At 41.5% G+C, this 21404-nt stretch overlaps 1 long non-coding RNA gene across 4 annotated transcripts in view, besides 1 other annotated feature; it reads right to left on the bottom strand.

The window, feature by feature from the left end:
- Positions 1–21404, bottom strand: part of LOC101928387 (uncharacterized) — a 120046-nt gene that overhangs the window by 29680 nt on the left and 68962 nt on the right. The gene's annotated exons all lie outside the window — the stretch shown is intronic.
- Positions 14706–15206: an enhancer, noted in NCBI's record as "H3K27ac hESC enhancer chr12:19781138-19781638 (GRCh37/hg19 assembly coordinates)". NCBI's record gives its function as "activates a minimal SCP1, AML or CMV promoter by ChIP-STARR-seq in primed H9 embryonic stem cells {active_cell/tissue: H9 hESC(primed)}" and the evidence as "EXISTENCE:reporter gene assay evidence [ECO:0000049][PMID:30033119]".

Here is a 21404-nt window from a genome sequence, read left to right as displayed (position 1 = left end):
CCCAGCACTTTGGGAGGCCAAGGCGGGCAGATCACTTGAGGTCAGGAATTTGAGACCAGCCTGGCCAACATGGTGAAACGCCATCTCTACTGAAAATACAAAAATTAGCAGGCATGGTGGTGGGCACCTGTAATCCCAGCTACTTGGGAGGCTGAGGCATGAGAATCACTTGAACCTGGGAAGCAGAGGTTGCAGTGAGCTGAGATCGCACCCCTGTACTCCAGCCCGGGCGACAGAGGGAGACTCTGTCTCAAAAAAATAAATTAAATTAACTGTATTGTTTCTGGGGGACTTTAACCAGTCCAGAAAGCTATTTTTATCTCCTGAAACAGGACTTAAGTCACACTATTCATATGATAGATTTTAATAGAAACTCTTCCTCTTTCCTTCTGTCAAAGCAAAATATAGTGAAGGTCTTTGTTTTTACCTCAAACCTGCTTTCCAAATAAGTGTGCATACATGTAGATGGATTGGGATGGGGTGAAGGGAAAAGTTAAACAAAAAGGTTAAAAAAAAAAAAAAAGAGGCGGGGGCAGGCTGGGCACAGTGGCTCACATCTGTAATCCCAGCACATTGGGAGGTTGAGGTGGGAGGATTGCCTAAGCCCAGGAGCTCGAGATTTGCCTGGACAACATAGGGAGACACCATTTCTACAAAAAAAAAAAAAAATTTTTTTTAATTAGCCAGACATGGTGGTGCACGCCTGTGGTCCCAACTACTCAGGAGGCTGTAGCAGGAGGATCACTTTGGAAGTGAGAAGGTGAATACACTAGGGGAAAGTTAAGGCTGCAGTCAGCTGTGATGACATCACTGCACTATGGCCTGGGTGACAGAGTGAAACCCTTTCTCAAAAACAAGAAAGCCAAAATCTTAAAAACGGGAAATGAAGGCTGTTCATGGGTTATCCCTGTCATATCCCACTCACTGTGGTTTGCAAGATTCTGCACAATAAAATGTGCTCATTCATTCATTCAGTACATATTTATTGACTTCCTGCTGTGTGCCAGACACAGTAAGAGAGCAGACAGTCTAGACAGCTGTACCGCTGAGCAGTAGGCCCGTAGTCAACACTGGACACAGGTGTAAATAAAGCAGATCGTTCTCCCTTATTCTGCCCTTGTGCATCTCATGTTCTAGTATTAGAGGCAGACAATTTAAAAGGAAACAGATATAAATTTAGGTAGTGACAAGGACCATGAGGAAAAACCAAACATAACAAAAAGGCTAGAAAGGGTGTAGGGAGTGGCCGTTTTAGACAGGATTGTCAAGGCATGCTTCTCTTGGGAGGTGATATTTGAGCAGAGACCTGATGAAGCAAGTGAGGGAGTGAGCCACTAGGCACCTGGGAGAAAGTAAGGCAAAGGGAACAGCAATGCAAAGGCTGTGGCATCCAGGCATCCTTGGTTGTTGGAGGAACAAGAGGAAGCTGGTATGGCTAGAACGGGACAAGCAAAGCAAGGAGTAGCCAGAGAGAGATGAGGTCAGAAAGAAGAGGGCACATAGGGCCTTGGAGTCCCCAGAAGGGGTGCTGGGTTTTATTATAAAGGTTATGGAAAACCTTTATGTGAAGTAACATGGCCTAATTTCCATTTGAAAAGGATCACTCTGGCTATGGCACAGAGTACATCCTAAGTATGGGAAGAGGCAAGAGTGGAAATAGAAAGGCCACTCCAGAGGCTGTTGCAAAAGCCAGTGGAGGGATGGTGTGGTCTGTGGGGGAGGAAGGGAAATGGAGAGCTGGAAGACAGGGAGGGCTTGAGTGCTGGGAGGACTTGGAAGTGGTGTGGCAGGGAACCAATAGTTCTATTTTGGGCAGTTGGGTTTAAGTTGCTATTAGTCATTCCGTTACAGATGTCAAATAGGTGATGGATACAGAAATCTAAAACTCAATGGAAAGGTCAGAACTGGAGAAAACTTGGAAGTCCTGTGTATGGAGATAGTACATGTAACCAAATAGCTGAATAAGGTCATGCAGAGAGCAAGTGTGGGTAGAGAACAATCCAGGGACAGAGGCCTGGGGCGCTCCTGCGTTTAGAGCAGCCAGCTAAAGAAACCGAGAAGGAAGGCCAAGCAAGGTAAAGAGGAAACCATGGCAGTTAGGGGTCCCAGAAGTGAGCATTTCAATAGGGAGGAAGTGATCAATTTTGTCAGAAGCTTGTAAGCATTCAGGTAAATGAATACCAAGAACGGACCACTGGATTTGGCAAGATGAATGTCATTGCGGATGTTGGCAAGAGCCCTCTAAGCAGAATATGAGAACAGGATTGATTAGTGTGAAATAGAGAACACCAGGCGAAGGCCGTTAAGCTGGGAAATCCTGCTGAGGAGTTTTGCTATCAAGGAATGATAAGTGAGGTAGAAATGGGAGGGGGTGGGGGTGCTAGGAAGAGCTTTTCAAGATGGGAGATATTTCAACACATGTATGTGCTGATGGAGACGATCCAGGAGAGAGGAGGTCAGAGTGATGCAGGGGGAACCAGATGAGGAGGACATCATTGCACACATGGAGGCATGGAGGGAGCGCGGACCCCCGGGTAGATGTGGTGGTGGGAAGATGAGGTCATTGTCTCTCTTTTTTTCTTTTCTTTTTTGAGTCAGAGTTTCACGCTTGTTGCCCAGGCTGGAGTGCAACGGCGCGATCTCGGCTCACTGCAAGCTCCGCCTCCCAGGTTCAAGCAATTCTCCTGCCTCAGCCTCCCAAGTAGCTGGGATTACAAGCACCAGCTACCACACCTGGTTAATTTTGTATTTTTAGTAGAGACGAGGTTTCACCATGTTGGCCAGGCTGGTCTCCAACTCCTGACCTCAAGTGAGCCACCCGACTTGGCCTCCCAAAGTGCTGGGATTACAGGTGTGAGCCACTGCACTCAGCCCATTTTTCTTAATGACACAAGAAACAAGGTTATCGACCAAGAGTAAGGAATGGGAGGGAGTGTTGAAGGCTTAATGAGAGAGGAGAAAGTGTAGAATATTCCTTTTTGGAAGCGGGAAGGTGAATTCACTAGGGAGAATACAAGAAGATTTCGGGAAGGCTCTGTAGGCTCATCTGAGGTTTGAAAGTTTAAACTGATTCCTGGCAGCACATGTTGATTTTTTTTCTTCCAGCCACATGCCAGCAAGCCAGGCAGGTCTGAGCCACACCCCCAACCCTCCCCTCCATCCCTATCGTCCCCAGGCCTCTCTTATCACTCCTCTGGCTTCTTCACATCTTAACTTTCTCTCCCGTCTGCACTAAAAAAAGGGCCCAAATGTAGTGTGGAAGGCTCTTTTTCTGCCACCTGCTCCTATACCTCTGCACTTAGGCCACTCAGAGATCTCATTCACTCCCAGACCTTTAGCTATCTTCTGAATGGCAGTCCCAATCTCTGCTTTCCCTCCAGACCGAAATGTTTGTCTCTTGGGCATCTGCGTCTTGATATCCCTCTGGCTCATAAAACCCAGCAGGTGCAGCAGTGAATTACTTGGCACAATCATCATGCTGCTCTTCAAAGCTTGCTTTTCCTGTGATATTCTGTTTCATTTAACATCATCTATCCAACCTTCAAGACAAGAGGCCTTAGATTGGTCTTCAATGTCTCCCTCTTCTTAGTTTTCTCTGTTCCCCTGTGTACATGAAGTTGTTGAGAATTTCTATCAATTCTACTACCATAGTGTTTTTCAAATTTGGCTTCAGAATCACTGCCTCATTTATGCTGTTTCTCCTTAAATCTATTTCCTGTGGTAACTATTATTTGTGAAGAAGGGTCTAGTATTAGTCCCCGCTCAAAAATATAAAGATATTCCTATTAACCCTTAAAATCCTTAGCCCTGAGTTCATGTTCTTGCTGTAATCATTACAGCTGGTTTTTTCCCAGCTCTTACCTCACATCACCCCCTTCCAGAATTGTATACACTCCCAACTGAACAGTTTTCCTCCTACTTTCCCACCATGCTGGTCAGTCCGATGCTCACCAATACCCATGGAAACGTCCACTCTTCCAGGCCCTTGGGCACTAAGAATGGGGCCCTTTGACTGGTTCTGCTCATGACAGGCATCACTTCCAGGTGAATGCAGTTGTGAGCCAAGTGCGTTCACCTCTCTCCTCCCCTGCCAGTCACCTTGGAGGGCACATGCTCCAAATGGCATAGCTACATGACGAAAGAGGATTGTCTGACCTATATCAGGTTTTACGTAAGTGAAAAATACATGTATTTTGTTACAACACTGGAATTCGGGATTTGCCTAATGAAGCAGCTAGCATTTACTGTCCCAATGCTGCAGCCCTGTGTCTTTGTTTATACAGATGCCTTTGCTCAAATGCTTTCTCCTCTTCCTATTCATGACCTTTGGCTATTGAAATCCTCACTCTCAAAAGTAGACCTTCCCAAATGCTGGTATGTAGGTTGTTTGGTCCATGATTAAATTCCACCTAAGTCAAAGGGGTAAAAGAAAAATTACAACCGAACAAGATTCCGTAAAAGTAAATAGATTCAATTTAAAGCACTGTCTTTGGACTGAGATAACTCCTTCCATATTCAAGTGACTTCTATTATAAATTAATGGTGGTATTTGATGGCAAGAGAGAGAGGTTTTGTTTTGTTTTGTTTTGTTTTGTTTTGTTTTGTTTTGTTTGAGACGGAGTCTTACCCTGTCGCCAGGCAGGAGTGCAGTGGCGCGATCTTGGCTCACTGCAACCTCCACCTACCGGGTTCAAGCGATTCCCCTGCCTCAGCCTCCCGAGTAGCTGGGATTACAGGCGCCCGCCACCACGCTCAGCTAATTTTTGTATTTTTAGTAGAGACAGGGTTTCACCATGTTGGCCAGGATGGTCTCGATCTCTTGACCTCATGATCCTACCACCTCGGCCTCCCAAAGTGCTGGAATTACAGGCATGAGACACTATGCCCAGCCTAGAGAGAGGTTTTTAACCCCATTATTTGGCAAAATAAAGTTGGACATCTGTGTTTCGTTTCCAAAATTGTTTTCTAAATGTCATTACTTTATATACTCAAGTTCAGCAACCAGTGCTGGCACTAAGGTTAGGAAGACTTTCATTATCCTCCCAGACCAAAGTGACCTCGGATGTCTTTTAGTGACGTCTGATGCTTTGAGCGCTTGACTTTAATGTTTTATCTCTCCTCCTGGAGAGAAAATTCTTTCAGGCAAGTGATCTTTCTTATTCCCGTACAAGAAGGGCAGGAAAAACTATTCTTATTACCCATACAAGAAGGGCAGGAAAAAACTATTCTTAAACAAATGAGGGTAAAACCTTCTTATTGCCCATACAAGAAGGGCAGGAAGAATTATTCTTAAACAAATGAGAAAGCTGAGCTCTAAAAAAAATTAAATTACTTGGAAATTATAATTTTCAACATTTATTGAGCACTTAACTATTTGCCAGGCACTGTTCTATGCATTTCGCATGTACTTACTCATTTTGTTCTTGAAAAATATCTATCAGGTAGGTTACAATTCCCATCCCCATTTTGCAGAAAAAGAAGGCAACCTGCCCAAAGTCACAGAGCTAGGAAGTAGTCCCTTTAAGGCTTAAATTCTGGAGCCCATGAATTTATGGGCTTTTTAAAACACAAACCAAGTCTCCTGGTTCCTGGCTGGTGTTCTTTTCTAGTAGATCACTTTTTCTTCAACTTATTTGTTAAAGTATTTATAATTTCAAGTAAGCTTATCAGAGAACTCAGCCCCTTTTGTAATGTCTAATCAGTATTTCAGTACAATTATCTTAGATTTGCCAGTCCACATTCTAATTTTCTACATACATCTGTTTACCTTTAAGGTCTTCCTCTTTCTGTGTGAATTTCTTTCCTGCCTGTCCCCCAGAAAGAAAATAAATTAAATTAAGTCATCGAACATTGTTCAGGCAACTGTGACAGAAACTCAATAAAGTGGAAAATAAGCCAATAACATCAAGCTCCTTTTCATTAAGATTTTCAATACTTATTTGGTCAGGCTTAAGTAAAGCTGGATTTATTTGAGAGCCCTAGATTTTAAATGCAGCAGGTGCCCCACTGGTCGAATCCTTTGGATGCAGGTGTGCCATTTCACACTTTAAAAGTCTTAAGAAAATGGTGGACTTCAAACAGTAGGAAAATATTAATGCTAAAAAAAAAAAATCAAGATAAGAGTGGCCCAGGTGATTTTATTTTAAGGTGGCTTCATATCTCATTTGCCTGAGGAACCCTTCTAAGAAATTTCAGGACAATTTTACCACTGGACAACCACAATAGTATGACATTATTTCCCTAAATTTTTTATCACAGTAGCCAATATATATATCAAAAAAGATATCTTACTAGAAAGCAAAACTAACAAACATTTATAGTAGGTCAAAAATTACCTAAATGTACATACATTCTCAATGTCAACGGGGTAAATATCCCCGTTCTTCCATATTAGTGACAGTCCCAAATGAAGAATCTTTTTTTTTCTTTTTCTTTTTCTTTTTTTTTGAGACAGAGTCTCGCTCTGTCACCCAGGCTGGAGTGCAGTGGCATGATCTCAGCTCACTGCAACCTCTGCCTCCCAAGTCCAAGCGATTCTCCTGCCTCAGACTCCCGAGTAGCTGGGACTACAGGTGCCCGCCACCACGCCTGGCTAATTTTTGTATTTTTAGTTGAGACAGGGTTTCACCATATTGGCCAGGCTGGTCTCAAACTCCTGACCTTGTGTTCCACCCGTCTCGGCCTCCCAAAGTGCTGGGATTACAAGCGTGAGCCACCGCACCCAACCATGAAGATTCTTTTACACCAGAGAGAATGGCACTCCTTTCTCCCAGCAGACTCCTGCTGAAAAGTCTACTTGCCTTCTCTTCCAGGTTCATCTTCTAAGGATCCATTGTGCAGCACCAGCGGCTGGCCCTGTTGGCAGGCAGGAATGCCTAGGAACTTTCCTCCTGCTCTGTGCAGAGTATGACCCTGACAGCTGAGCCCATAACTTTAACAATGAAGCAAGTTTCTCATCTTGAGATCCTTTAGCCACGTTCACGTATCAAATGCCCCTGAAGGCCAGAGATTCACATGGAATTTGAGAAACAGTGTCTCCTCACTATAGCCCACATCGCCTCTCCTTTGAAAGAGTCCTGCCCCCAGCTACAGATGATCCAAAAATACTCATAATTTGCAAAGGGGATGACATACCTCCCCATAACCCAAGTAGCCTTCGTGTCTCTCAGTGAGATTGTCGAATATCTTTTATCTAACGAATATGTTTTTATACCAAGCAAGAATTTTATACCAAGCAAAAGTGTCACACATTTTTACAGAAAGAGAAATATTATATTGCCAAAAACCAGGTGTTATTCTACCAACATATATTTGTGCTGCCTAGAATTAGACACACAGTATTCCACACAAACATACAAAGATACATTAACCAAAAGCAGATAATATGCCACTTTTTAAGCCATCAGGTAGCATTTACAAAAGTCAACTATATAGTAAGTGAAAAAGAAAACTTCATAAATGGAAAATTCAAAAAATAATCCAGGCCACAGTTGGTGACCATAACGCAATAAAAGTAGCAAATAATAATTAAAGTATAAACCAAAAAGACTTGTCAACTTAAATGCATCTGTCCAAATGACTTTCAGGTGATGCTCATATTTTTAACTATAACTTCAGAAAAGGTTTTCTTGCTATTATTTACCAAAAACTGTCACTGAAGGAAAAATATTTTTTTTCTTCTACCTGATAGGATGCAGGAAATGCTATCCCAAATTATGTCACCTTGGCATACTGAGTGTTTTAAGATGAAGGAAACTGAGAAAAGTGCATAAGCAGAAAGGTATCTCTGACCTCCTCTATCCCCCCATCTTTTGAAGTCCCACATGTGACAGGTGTCCTGCCCTATACCTACAGGGATGGAATGTTACCCAGAGAGGACAAGAAGAATCTGAACAAACATGTTCTGCTCAACTCCCCCTAGTTTATTAACATTAAATCATACCCCCTTTTTTATCCAGTCATTCTTCTACACAAGTGTCCACTGCTCATTGAACCTAAGCACAAAAACACAGTTTTCCCTGGGTCTCTGGGTCTTCATTTCTGAAGACTCCCAGGTCATGTAAAACTAGTATTTTTTAAATGTGCCATGCTTTTATCTTGTTAGTCCATCTTTTGTTGTGGTGGTGTCAGCCATGAACCTTGCAATGGGGGAAGAAAGAATATCACTTTTTCTCCCCTACCTACCCTTCTACATTCATGGCTGGGGACCCTCTAACAAAAGAAAGACTAACAAGAGAAAAGCATACAAATGCTTTTAATATAAGTTTTATGTGTCATGAGACCCTTCATGAGGAAACGAAGACCCAAAGAAACAGTTAAATCTGAGTGCTTTTTATAGTAGGTTTTTGAAGAAAAATGGAGAGTCATGGTAGAATAATGTGATAGGGTAAAGGGTGTAAGTGTAACCATGAAACCAGCCCAAACTGGGCCTATTCTGTTGATAACAAATTGTCAAGTTACCTTTTGGGTATAACAGAGCCAAAAACTACAAATTCTGTAGCACGGGCATGTGCAATAGAAAAAGCTTTTACCTCTAACACACCCGGAACCAATGATTCCCTCCCCTCAGAACCAAGAAGTTCTAGAACATGACCAGAACCTAAACACATAGCTCTTTCAGAAGCAAGAGGTCTGTTGGCCCCGAAGATCCAGGGCTAAAATCTGCCGTAACATATCTTACTGTAAATGGTGAAATGTGAAGGCCTCCAATCAGACCCCGCTCAGCCAACACTCTTCAATCCTTTCCCTTGCCCTCTGATTCTTTAAAACTTGCCCCAGACCTCAAATTAGAGAGGCAGATTTGAGCCCCCTCCTGCCTCCTTTGCTGACTGGTCTTACAATAAAGGCCTTCTTTTCTCAAAAACTGGTGCCATAGTTCTTCACTTCTGTATGCATCAGGCAGTGAGCCCATTTGCTCCATAGCATAAGTAAACAAGGCCTGTTCATGCAGATTCCTCTCTTGTGACCCTGTGCCTTTGGAAATAAGAATGCTCCTTTTCTCCAGGTATAGAGAAGATACCTCTCCCATGAGGGGCTTATGACCTGCTTCAGAGGAACATCAGAAAATCCTTCCTGGGTTTTATAACCTGCTCCATGGGAGAAAGGTAAGAGCAGAATGGGAGGAGATCAGAGTGACCTTCCTACTTCTGCCATTTTCTCCAAGACCCTCAGTTTAAAATATTCAATATCGCAAGGTACCATATTTTGGGGTAGAGTGTCTTGAACCCCATTCTCACCATGGCTTTAACTATTTCTGCCAAAATTAATTTGGTTTCCTTAGAAATCTCAAACTGCTGATCCTTTAGAAAAGCTACAGGAGACATATTGCAGAGTTTAGGGCATATCCAAGATGAGACTAAAATATAAAATCAGACCCTGTAGTAAGTTCTATGAGAAATGTATGGCCTCTTTAAGGTGTGTGTTTGAAAGATGATGAATCTTCAAATAGAGTAACTTAATACTAACTCATACCATTTCTCCCAAAGGGCATTCAAGATCAAGAAAATTGCAGGCTCGCTTCTAACTTATTCTAAGATAATTTCCCTAACGCATGCTCTTCCAAGAGCAGAGAAACTCAATTAGGCTAAAGAAACTCAGTTAGGCTGCTAATTAAATCTGTCCCCCAAAGTTGAAGCAAAGAACATGAAGTTACAATTTTACATATACCATGTACCTCCCAGCACCTAAAACATTTTCACATTTGTCAAAGACATATTTACATAGAATCAACTACAAATAAAGAAGTATTCCTTTTTCTTATTTAGAACAGGACTCCAGAATTAAAAATAAGACTCTCCCAGGAACCATGACACACCAAAAAAAATGGGAAGGAAACTAAGACTTAAGAGTCAAATCAAATTATTCCACGATCACTTGAAAACTCAGGCAATTTCAACAGGCTGAGATTGTTTTCTATAAAGGAAACATATGTTATCCATACAAATTTTTTCATTAAACCCCAAAGTCACATCTGTAGCATTTGCTGCTTATAAAAATTCTGCATATGGAAAGAAGATTTAAAGCCACTGAACTTGCAATTCAATGTATGTGCACATAGACATGTGCATATGATTTCCTGGGTGTGTAACTTTAAGCAGCATGTAAAAGGCCTTTGCATGTCTTGTTCTGGTTCGCTTTGTTCAATGTTAAATGATAACAAGATTCAGAGCAACAGTTTCATGCCTGAGTTTATACTTTAACAGGATTTCTTATTTTCTCTAGCCACACACGATAGGAGAAAATTTAATTTGGCCTTCAAATTCTAGGCATGAGGCACTACTGGTTTCGTTTACCTCTCAAATAAACGGCACCACCAAAAAGTTAATTATCTGCCAATCATTCTGTAGGAAAGGACTGGGCTTCTTAATACCTTCCAAGATAGAAGGGAAAGACCCACAGGACTTAAAAGTCCAGTAGCTTCACCACTTAGCAGGCGGCTCTGTGATTTCACTCCTAATGATCCTAAATGAAATAAATATTAAATGGAAATAAAGATTTCTTGCCTGACTGTCCTATAGGTTTGTTGTAGGAGAAGAAATGAGAAAATGAATGTTCAACACTCAGGGAGCACAGGATGTCTGCTAGGCACTGGGGAAGCAGTGATGAATAAGACACGGCCCTGCCATGTAGATTTGTAAAGACCTTCCTAAACTGCAAAGTGCAATATAAATGAATGGCATCATCATCAACCATTTGCCCTGTGCAAGGATAGCATCCCTCCCCCAGCAACAGCTATATTATTATTATAATATAATAATATTATATATTATTGTATATACTATATAATATTATATTATATATTATATATAATATACTATAATATATTATTGTATATTATATAATTATATATTATATATAATTATATTATATATTATATATTATTATATTCTATATTATATATAATATATTATATTATATATTATGTATATATAATTATATATAATATAATAATATATATTGTTATATATAATACAATAATATATATTGTTATATATAATACAATAATATATTATATATTGTTATATATAATATAATATTATATTATATATTATTATATATTATAATATTATATTATATATTATTATATATAATAATATTATATTGTATATTATTATATTATTATATATTATATAATAATATATTATATTATACATTATATATTATATAATATATATTATATTTATATATTATATATGTGATATATATTATATATATCACATATAATATATATGTCATTATAATATATATTTATATAATATATTGTATATCATTATAATAATATATTATATAAATATATATTATATATACTATAAAAATATATAACATATTATATATACTATAATATGATTATATTATTATAATATTATATTTATATATATCTCTCTCTCAAGCCCAGAAAGACATTAAAATCAGACAGCAATCACACTCTACTCCCCACTTTGAGCTGTGTATTCATCTCTTGAAACTGCTTGTTGTTGCCACAGTAGATGTAAATTAGCCTAATAATGCCACACCAGACACTTATAACCCACCCTATAGCTTAACCATGGATAGCCAATCACAAATCAATATTATTTCTGTAAACCAGTGAAAATATCTGACAAAAAACTTTGTATCAGTTGTCCGCTGATACGCTCCCTGTCCCCTTTTTGCCTTTAGAAACTTACTTGTAACAAAGGCCAAAGGAAGCTCATGTCCAAGGTTATGTGGCTCTGAGCCTTCTGGGCAACTGTCCTCACTTTGGGTCTAGTAGACTATTTAAATTATCATTTGGGCCTCAGCTTCTTCCTTTTGGGCCAACACTACTCTATTCAAAATTGCAAACCCCCTAGCATTTCCCCTCTTTTCCTATCTTTCACTATTCCTTTATTTCCTTCTGACTTACTATATATTTCACATATTTGTTCATTGTCTCTCTCACCCACTGCAACATACGCTCCCTGATGGCAGGTGGTTTTGTCTGTTTTGTTTGTTCCTGGATGTATCCCCAGTATCTAGAATTGTGCACTCAATAGTCTGCCCCTGAGTAAATGAATCCATCTAAGTCAAAAGAACAGATTGGATCCATATGATGAAATTAGGGGGCCGGGTGCAGTGGCTCATGCCTGCAATCTCAACACTTTGGGAGGCCAAGGCAGCCTGAGGTCAGGAGTTCAAGACCAGCCTGACCAATATGGTGAAACCCTGTCTCTAGTAAAAAATACAAAAAATTAGCTGGGCGTAGTGGCAGGTACCTGTACTCAGGAGGCTGAGGTAGGGAATCACTCGAACCAAGGAGGCGGAGGTTGCAGTGAGCCGAGATCTCGCCATTGCACTCCAGCCTGGGTAACAGAGCAAGATTCTGTCAAAAAAAAAAAAAGAAAGAAAGGCAGAGAGAGAGAGAGAGAGAGAGGAAAGAGAGAAAGAGAGAAAAAAAGAAAGAGAGAAAGAGAGAGAGGGAGGGAAGGAGGAAGGAAGGAAGGAAGGAAGGAAGGAAGGAAGGAAGGAAGGAAGGAAGGAAGGAAGGAAGGAATAAATTAGGGGAAGACTCTATCCTGTTCATAAACATCATTTTTTCTCAGCCAAGCTTTTGATCAGAGCAAGATATCTGACTATTCAAATTTGCTCTTTACAAGAAAAACTGCAGTTCTTGATTCCTATGTAATTGCTTATGGGTGTATTCAGGTGACAGGATAAGCAAACAGTAAAAGAAACCTAATAATTATTACCACCTTGACAGAGAGCCAATTTGCTTCTGTATGGAAGTTCTTAGTCCCTGGGAACATTGAGGAACAAAGCATAATTTCCACAACCTAAATTTGTACTTTCTATGTACTAATAGTCTAGGAACAGACACACGGTAACAGTAAAATTTTCTCTTTTTTTTTTTTTTTTTGATAGGATCTTACTCTGTTGTGCAGGCTGGAGTGCAGCGGCATAATCACTGCTCACTACAGCCTGGATCTCCCAGGCTCAAGCTCTTCTCTGGCTTCATCCTTCCAAGTAGCTAGGACTACAGGCACATGCCACCACCTCTGGCTAATTTTTTTGTTTGTTTGTTTGTTTTGTAGAGAGTGTCTCACTATGTTGCCCAGGCTTGTCTCAAATTCCTGTGCTCAAGTGGTCCTCCCAAAGTTCTGGGATTACATGTTTGAGGCACTGCACCCAGCAAAATGTTCTGATTCCATCTTGAATTAGTGTAACAATAACAGTTAACATTTATAGAGCATTTATTATGCACTAAACATTCTTCTAAGCATTTTACCCATATTAACTCATTTTATCTTCATAATGACCCTACACTGTCATACAATTATTATGGTCAGTTTACAGGTGAAGTTGACTGAGGCACGGAGTAGGAGCTCTACATAGCAGAGCAATTAAGAGGACATTCTGGAGCCAGACACCAATGCCCCCCAGCTGGGAAGTGAGGGGTCATGACTTGAACCTCAGGGGGTCTGGATGCAGAGTCTGCACCTTTGCATTTTCCTGGAAAAGTCGCACATCTTCATTCTCTGTGAGGAAACCAGTATTGCAGCAGCGACCAGCAAACCTCGGGAATCAATTCCACCTGGATTAGTATTCCAGCCCCACCACTCATTGATTAGATGACCTTCAGCAAATTAATTAACCTCCCTGAGATTGTTTCTTCATATAAAATACAGACTATAGTAACATATACCTCATAGAGTTATTAAAAGCACGTCAGTGAGAGAATCTATGTAAAGCACTTAGCATAATTTCTGGCAGCCAATGATACATAGCAATTTAGTCCATTCTGTAGGGTCAGACTGCCCAGACTGGAATCCCAGCTATGCTATTCAGCTCTGCCATCTTGGGCAAGCTAACTATCTCCTCTGTACCTCTCTCCTAATCTATAAAAAAGCAGGGGAGGGAATATTCCTATCAACTCACAGAGTTATGACCATTTAGATCGTTATTCTTTACAACATGCTTAGAACAGCACCTAACACATTATGAATTCTCAATGATTTTATTATGTTAACTACCCATGCCATTCCTCCCTTTCCCCAACATATTCCAAGCCAGCTTTTTATACTGCACACAGCCAGATTGTTACACACTTAATAGGACATTAACATTAACATTTTCATAGATATCCCAAGAAATAACAATTGTAAAACTTCAAAGAGAGGTGCCATGTGACCATAGCCAAAATTTACAAATGCAGGTCCAAAAACTGGTTCCCAAACTCTTGGCCCTGCCCTTCTCTTCTCCACCCTTAGAAGTCTTTGCCTCTGGAATATAGAAGGATTGAGGTGGAGAAATAGAAAATCTGTAATGAGACTTATTTGGAACCCTGTTCACCCTGTGAGGTACTTCCATCTTCACCTCAAGCTCAATGTGGGGCTTCCAAGGGACCACTCAGAGGGTAGGAAATGTCTTGTGAGCCACCGGAGATGTGTGTCCAACTTGTGTCTCGGGAAATAACGCAGCCGGTAGCAGCAGGACAGAGGCTGTTGCACCCGAATAGGAGGGGCCTACATGCCCGGAGTTTGCCAAGGTGAAGATGTGTACAGGTCTCCTGGGGATCCCTGGGGACCAAGGGCCAGAGAAGGTGGACTTGGAGCCATTTTAATTCCCAACCAAGGGGACCACCTAGGAGGACAAGGTGCTTCCAACAGGGTAAGTCTGTAAGGAATGCTGTGCTGTGAGGACCAGCAGCAGAGGGGCATCAGCAAGCCAGAGGGGAGGCATCATCCTCATCTACAGGCTACCACGTGAAATGCATGGGCACTCGCTGGGCTCACAAAAGTGTCACAAGGAAGAAAGACAGCTTTAAACATCTGTCAAGCCTGGAGAGGGTGACGCCATCCAGGCACAGAAAGCACTCACCATCTCCTGGGGTCAAAATGGCATCTAGAGAGTGGAAGAGAAGAATGGAGAGCCACAGAAGAACTCGCCTAGGCCTCCCCTTCAGAGACTCCTGGCTCCCTCGCACATGCTCCAGACCATCTAAGGTTGGGGAAGGAACTCTTAAGAACCCCTGCTGGAAGGTGGAGGGGGAGTGGTCTTATCTTTGAATGAAGATTTAAGTGTTAATTAATATATTAAACTCGACATTTTTATTTGTTTTTTGTTTGTTCATTTGTTTGTTTTCTGAAACAGGGTTTCACTCTATCGCCCAAGTTGGAGTGCAGTGGCATGATTTCTGCTCACTGCAGCCTCGAACTCCTCAGCTCAGGTGATCCTCCCACCTCAGCTGAGACCACAGGCACATGCAACCATGCCCAGATAATTTTTTTATTTTTTGCAAAGACAGGGGTCTCACTACGTTGTCCAAGCTGGTCTTGAACTCTGGGTCTAAAGCAATCCTCCCACCTCTGCCTCCCAAAGTGCTGGGATTATAGGCATGAGCCACCACACCCAGAATAAACTGGACATTTTTAAATACTAAATTGGGACTGAGTGTATGCAAATTAATGTCGCAGAACCAAACTGAGTTCATTTGCCTACAGTAATGGAAAGTCAAACATCAAAGCACCAGGCTTTTGCAAAGAGAAAGATTTATTGTGTGTTGACTAGCAAGGAGACAAGAGGAAATGCTCAAATCTGTCTCCCTGAGCTGAGGGCTGGGGCAAGTTTTATAGACAGAGGGCAATGAGGTGTGATCTGATTGGATCTTACGGTGAGGTGATGGCAGTAGGCATAAGGGACTGGATCCTGCCATGGGGTGGCACCAGGGCTCCTGCCAGACGATGTCCACTTCTTAATACAGTCCCCACTCCTCGGTCTGAGCGCTCAGGTTCTACTAGTGGTTACACGCTGGTTTCTCTGGGCATGCTCAGATTATATGACCTTCAACTGGGAGCAGGGGGCATGGCAACTGAAAAACAACTCACAACTGTACATAAAAGTTGAAACAGATTGGTCTGATGCAGCTGCACTGAAGCAGAACGGTCAACTTACTACGAGCAAGCAGAAAAGTCATGGGCCTGCCTGGGTCTTCATCCCAAAGCAAGGGGTTCTTATCCCACTGAATAAATTATACAGGGTGATAGAAGACAACAATAAATTTTTATTGTGCTGACATCTAACCTATTTTACTTATTCAACATCCAAGCTATTTATAGGCACCATTTGCCTCCTGTGCCCCAGCACTGCCCCCCTTCAGACTGAACCCCCTTCAGACTGAGGAATGCCCCTGTAACCCTCATCCTATCTCCATGCTCCCAACCTCCCATTTTTACCCATCCCCAGGAGATCCTAGACTCACCTCATGCCATCTCCACCACAAAGCTCTAGCCCCTTTAGCCTTCCACTGTTCCAGCACAGGTCATCTGTGCAAGCATCATTGTCTTTGCATGCATCCATTCTTCTGATTACAATGTCCTTTCCTCTGTTCTACACCTATTTAAGAAAGGCATCTCCCTAAGGGACACTTTTCCAAGCTTCTCCAGATACATTTAGCACCTGCCTCATCTGCCTCCCAATGGCATGTCGTATGTGACTCCATTCCAGTACTTTTTATACTGCACTGGGTAGTGTGACTGCCTCACTGGGCTTAGGCTCCCTAAGGGCAAGGCCTTATTCTTCTAGGTAGACTCACTAACTAGCACCAGTAGGTTTACAGAATGGGAGAAAATACTTGCAAACTATGCACCTGACAAAGGACTAATATCCTGAATCTATAAGAAACATAAACAAATCAACAAGAAAAAAAATTAACCCCATTAGAAAGTGGGTAAAGGACATGAACAGACTCTTCACAAAAGATGACATACAAGCAGCCAACAAATATATGATAAAGGCTCTCGACCTCACTAGTCATTGGAGAAATGCAACTCAAAACCGCAATGAAATATAATCTCACACCATTCAAATGACTATTATTAAAAAAATAAAAAAAAAGATGTTCATAAATCTGTGGAGAAAAGGGAATGTTTATATGCTGTTGGTGGGAACATAAAATAATTCAGCCATTATGAAAAGCAGTTTGGAGATTTTTCAAAGAGCTAAAAATAGAACTACCATTTGACCCAGCAATCACATTACTGGATATATACCAGTAAAATAAACCATTCTGCCAAAAAGACACATGCACTCATACATTCACTGCAGCACTATTCACAATAGTAAACACACGGAATCAAGCTAGGTGCCCATTCATGGTAGACCAGACAAAGAAACTGTGGCATATATACACCAATAGAATACTATACAGCCAAAAAAAAAAAAAAAGAATAAAATCATGTCCTTTGCAGGAACATGAATGCAGCTGGAGGCAATTATCCTAAGTGATTAATGCAGAAACAGAAAACTAAATACTGTGTGTTCTCACTTATAAGTGGGTGCTAAATTTTGGGTACACATGGACATAAGGATGGTATATTAGTCCATTTTCATGCTGCTGATAAAGACGTACCCAAAACTGGGAGGAAAAAGAGGTTTAATTGGACTTACAGTTCCACGTGGCTGGGGAGGCCTCAGAACCATGGCAGGAGGAGAGAGGCACTTCTTACAAGGCAGTGGCAAGAGAAAAATGAGGAAGAAGCAAAAGTGGAAACCCCTGAAAAACCCATTAGATCTCATGAGACGTATTCACTATCACAAGAATAGCACGGGAAAGACCAGCCCCCATGATTCAATTACCTCCCCCTGGGTCCTTCCCACAACACGTGGGAATTCTGGGAGACACAATTCAAGTTGCTATTTGGGTTGGAACACAGCCAAACCATATCAGATGGTAACAATAGACACTGAGGACTCCAAAAGGAAGAAGGGAGGGAGGGGCAAGGGCTGAAAAACTTCTGGTTGGGTGTTTAGTTCACTAACTGAGTAATGGGATCGATAGAAGCCCCAGGCTCAGCATCACACACATTGTTGTCCATGTAACAAACCTGCACATGTACCCCCTGAATCTAAAATTAAAATGGAATTTTTTTTTTTTTTTTGAGATGGAGTCTCACTCTGTCACCCAGGCTGGAGTGCAGTGGCAGGATCTTGGCTCACTGCAACCTCCCGCTCCTGGGTTCAAGCGATTCTCCTGCCTTGCCTCAGCTTCTTGAGTAGCTGGGACTACAGGCGTGTGCCAGCATGCCTGCCTAATTTTTGTATTTTCGGTAGAGACAGGGTTTCACTGTGTTAGCCAGGCTGCTCTCGAACTCCTGATCTCAGATGATCCTCCCGCCTCAGCCTCCCAAAGTGCTGCGATTACAGGCGTGAGCCACCGTGCCTGGGCTAAAATGGAATTTTTAAAAAATGCATTGTGTTTTCTTGTAAGGTTTAACTTGTACCTTTCATTACCTTTCTAGCTAATATTACATTTTTTTTATTTCATATTTGATAGAAACCAAGTATTTCCAAATACATATTCACAATAGTTGATTTCTAGATAAAACACAAAACTTCCCCCAAATTGAAGGTATTTTAGAAGAGGCAGGTAGCAATGGAGAGCTCTAGTTTGTGTTGTTTCTATCTTTACTCATGGCTGGGGAGGGACAGAGGTGTTATAGGACAGCTCATGCCAACAAGAGTTTGACACGATGGCCCTTTCCATTTGAAAGGCAGCAGATATTTCCCCTCCCACTCAGAGCCTGCTCAGAAGCAATAAAGAAGATTGCCTTCAGATACAGATATTTTTCTCTGGCTTATGCTGGAGCTCCCTGCACAGACTTCCCTTTCATCTGCCTTCAGAGCATTTTCTTGTCTGGCCCTAAAAACCCCCGCAGATACTTCATTAAGACTCAACAGACGAAAGCAAGGTCAGCACATTCCGAAGTGACTGAAGGAAGAGAACAGATGATGTGCACATTTTTTTCAAGACCACATGCACCTCTTCTCTGCTTAAGGCGTTACCAACTAGGGAAAGTTGGGCCCTTCCTAAAAGTGGAGTCCTGCTGATAGTTAACCGATTAACTCCTATTTTGAAAGGTCCACACGACACTGCTTGCCATATGATATTTATACTCATTTTGTCATTGTGGGCAAAATTAATACCCACTAAAGGCAGCTGTATTGGAGAAGCAAGGATTATTTCAAGAGAATGTTCAATACAACCAAGCAATTTCCATATCCTGAGTATGACATAAAATTTTACGTTTTCTTTCTGGTTCTATCGATTCCATATGAGGCAAATTCTCTCTGGTTGCGCATAGTTAAGTAACTAAGTTCACTTCTCTCCCATCTCTACCATCTCATTATATAAGTGGTGTCTCACTGGGTACTGACTGTGCTGCAGGCAGAGGCTGAGGGTTGCAGGGAAGATAGAAGGCCAGAGGTGGAGGAAGTGGCTTAGGCAGTGACAGACATTGTTAGATGTTTGCTGCATAATAAGCACTAGTAAATGTTTCCGAGTCTGTTTTCTGCCTACAGATTCAACAATATGGTGAATTATTACAGAACACTAAAGGCCAGGAGTTTCATTACTGTCAGATACATCAAAATACTGCATAAATGACTATAAACATAAGATGGAGGATAACTCGATTGCTAGGATGTCATTTGTTGGCCCACGTGCCACCTCCAAGACCTGGTGCCAAGGCTTTGGATGCTGACAGTCATTTATGAGTCCCCGAATATGTAGCCAAAATTGCTACACGTTACAGCACGACCCCTGCATGTTAGTTTTTCTTTTGATAACTAACAGAAGGGGCCATGCAATTCTGTTAGTTATCAAAAGAAAACAACACTACACCTCCTGGCTTAAACCAATATCCAGGGATATTTATTTCTTCACTACACTCCCCAGGACTCACCAAGTTTGCAGGACGAAGGGAGAAAGGAGGCTTCTGTGCTAACAGTTACCTGGTTGTCTACTCCAATGGGCAGAGCAGAGAGACAATATGCTGTTCCCAAACTTCCCTCATGTTTGGAAACAGGGGTAAGTATGAAGGTGTTATCTAGATGTTCTACACCAGAACTAGTGGTGATACATCGTTATTGAGATGTGCTTTCAGACATTCTCTCTGGAGTTCATATAAAATGCCCTAACTACAGTTTCCATAAAAGCTCCAGCAGCCAGAGAACAAGATTAAAGTGAACCTATGGCCTGAATTTTATTTGTTTTCCTAAAAGGCACACAGTATATCATTAGAGGTAGTAATGCAGTACAATGGAGACATCAGCTTTGTTTCCCTACAGCAAATCATTGGCAAGGCGATTTCTGATACAAATCCCATGGGGCAGCTAACTTTTTAAGGACTTTTTCTGAACCTGATAAATGCAATTACCATTTCTCTTGTGCCCAGACACTTTCTCCCTTACTCCTAATCATCTCTCATTACCCCCACGTATCTATGGCCATGTATGTTTCAAACTCCCATAGCCCTAAGTAACACCTACAGTCCAACCCCCACCACATCTCCAGGGCAGAGCCACACTCTCCCTTCCCTTAGGAAGGGAGATGCCCTTCAGGTGCCATCCAGAGCAGATGCCCACCGATATGGCTGGCACGGGCAAAGACAAGGAATGCAGAAAAAGATGTTGAGATGCTATATTCATGTTATGTTATTGATCTATATTAATAGATCATACAGAAATTCATCTGCAAACATGGGAGTTATATTTACCATAAGGTTTTTTGGGAAGACAGCACATTTCATGCAATGATTGTGAATAGAAGTCCACGCCATTAACTTTAGCCTAAGGCCTTCGCTTGGGAAGCGAAGTGAGAGAACACAATTCCAGAGACTTTTGAGACAGCTTTTCAACAAGGAGTTCTATTTCCTTTTTCTTTTCCTCTCAATAGTTAAATATAGAGAATGGAAGAAGAAAAAGAAAGAAGTGGGGGAGAGAGGAAATTAAAAAGAGGAAGGCGAGGTTAAGACAAAGAGCAGAGGGAGAGAGAGCAAAAAAAGAAGAGTTGCAAAGGCCAACTTAGATTTCTTATATAAATTCTATTTCTAGGAATATCTTCCTGCTTTATAACCTTAACACACAGTAGTCAATGCTCTGAGGTTCCTTCAAAACAAAGGCGAGGTCATTACATGGTTTGGTGCATAGGAAAGAGAAGCCTGTGGTAAGTATTCTTCATTACATTACATAAAATCCCCTTTATTGAAGACCTTGGGATAAACGCCTTTGTGCTGTGAAAAGCAAGAATGCTGATGTTTCTCTTTAAGGAATTGGATTGCTTTTACCTATAGACATTCTGATTTGTGTATTTGATAGTTTCTCTCTTTGCATTTTTTTTTATACAGTCAGGGTCTCACTCTGTCACCCAGGCTGGAGTGCAATGGCACGATCACAGCTCACTGCAACCTCCACATCCCAAGTTCAAGCAATCCACTCACCTCAGCTTCCCAAGTATCTGGGACCACAGGCACGCACCACCATGCGTGGCTAATTTTTTTTTAAATTTTTTTGTAGAGATGGGGTCCCACTATGTTGCCCAGGCTGGTCTTGAACTCCTGCTGACTTCAAGCAATCCTCCAGCTTCAGCCTCCCAAAGTGCTGGGATTACA

This window comes from Homo sapiens, chromosome 12 (assembly GCF_000001405.40).
Source record: "Homo sapiens chromosome 12, GRCh38.p14 Primary Assembly".
NCBI classification, from domain to species: domain Eukaryota; kingdom Metazoa; phylum Chordata; class Mammalia; order Primates; family Hominidae; genus Homo; species Homo sapiens.
This window is presented reverse-complemented; position numbering and strand designations above follow the sequence as displayed.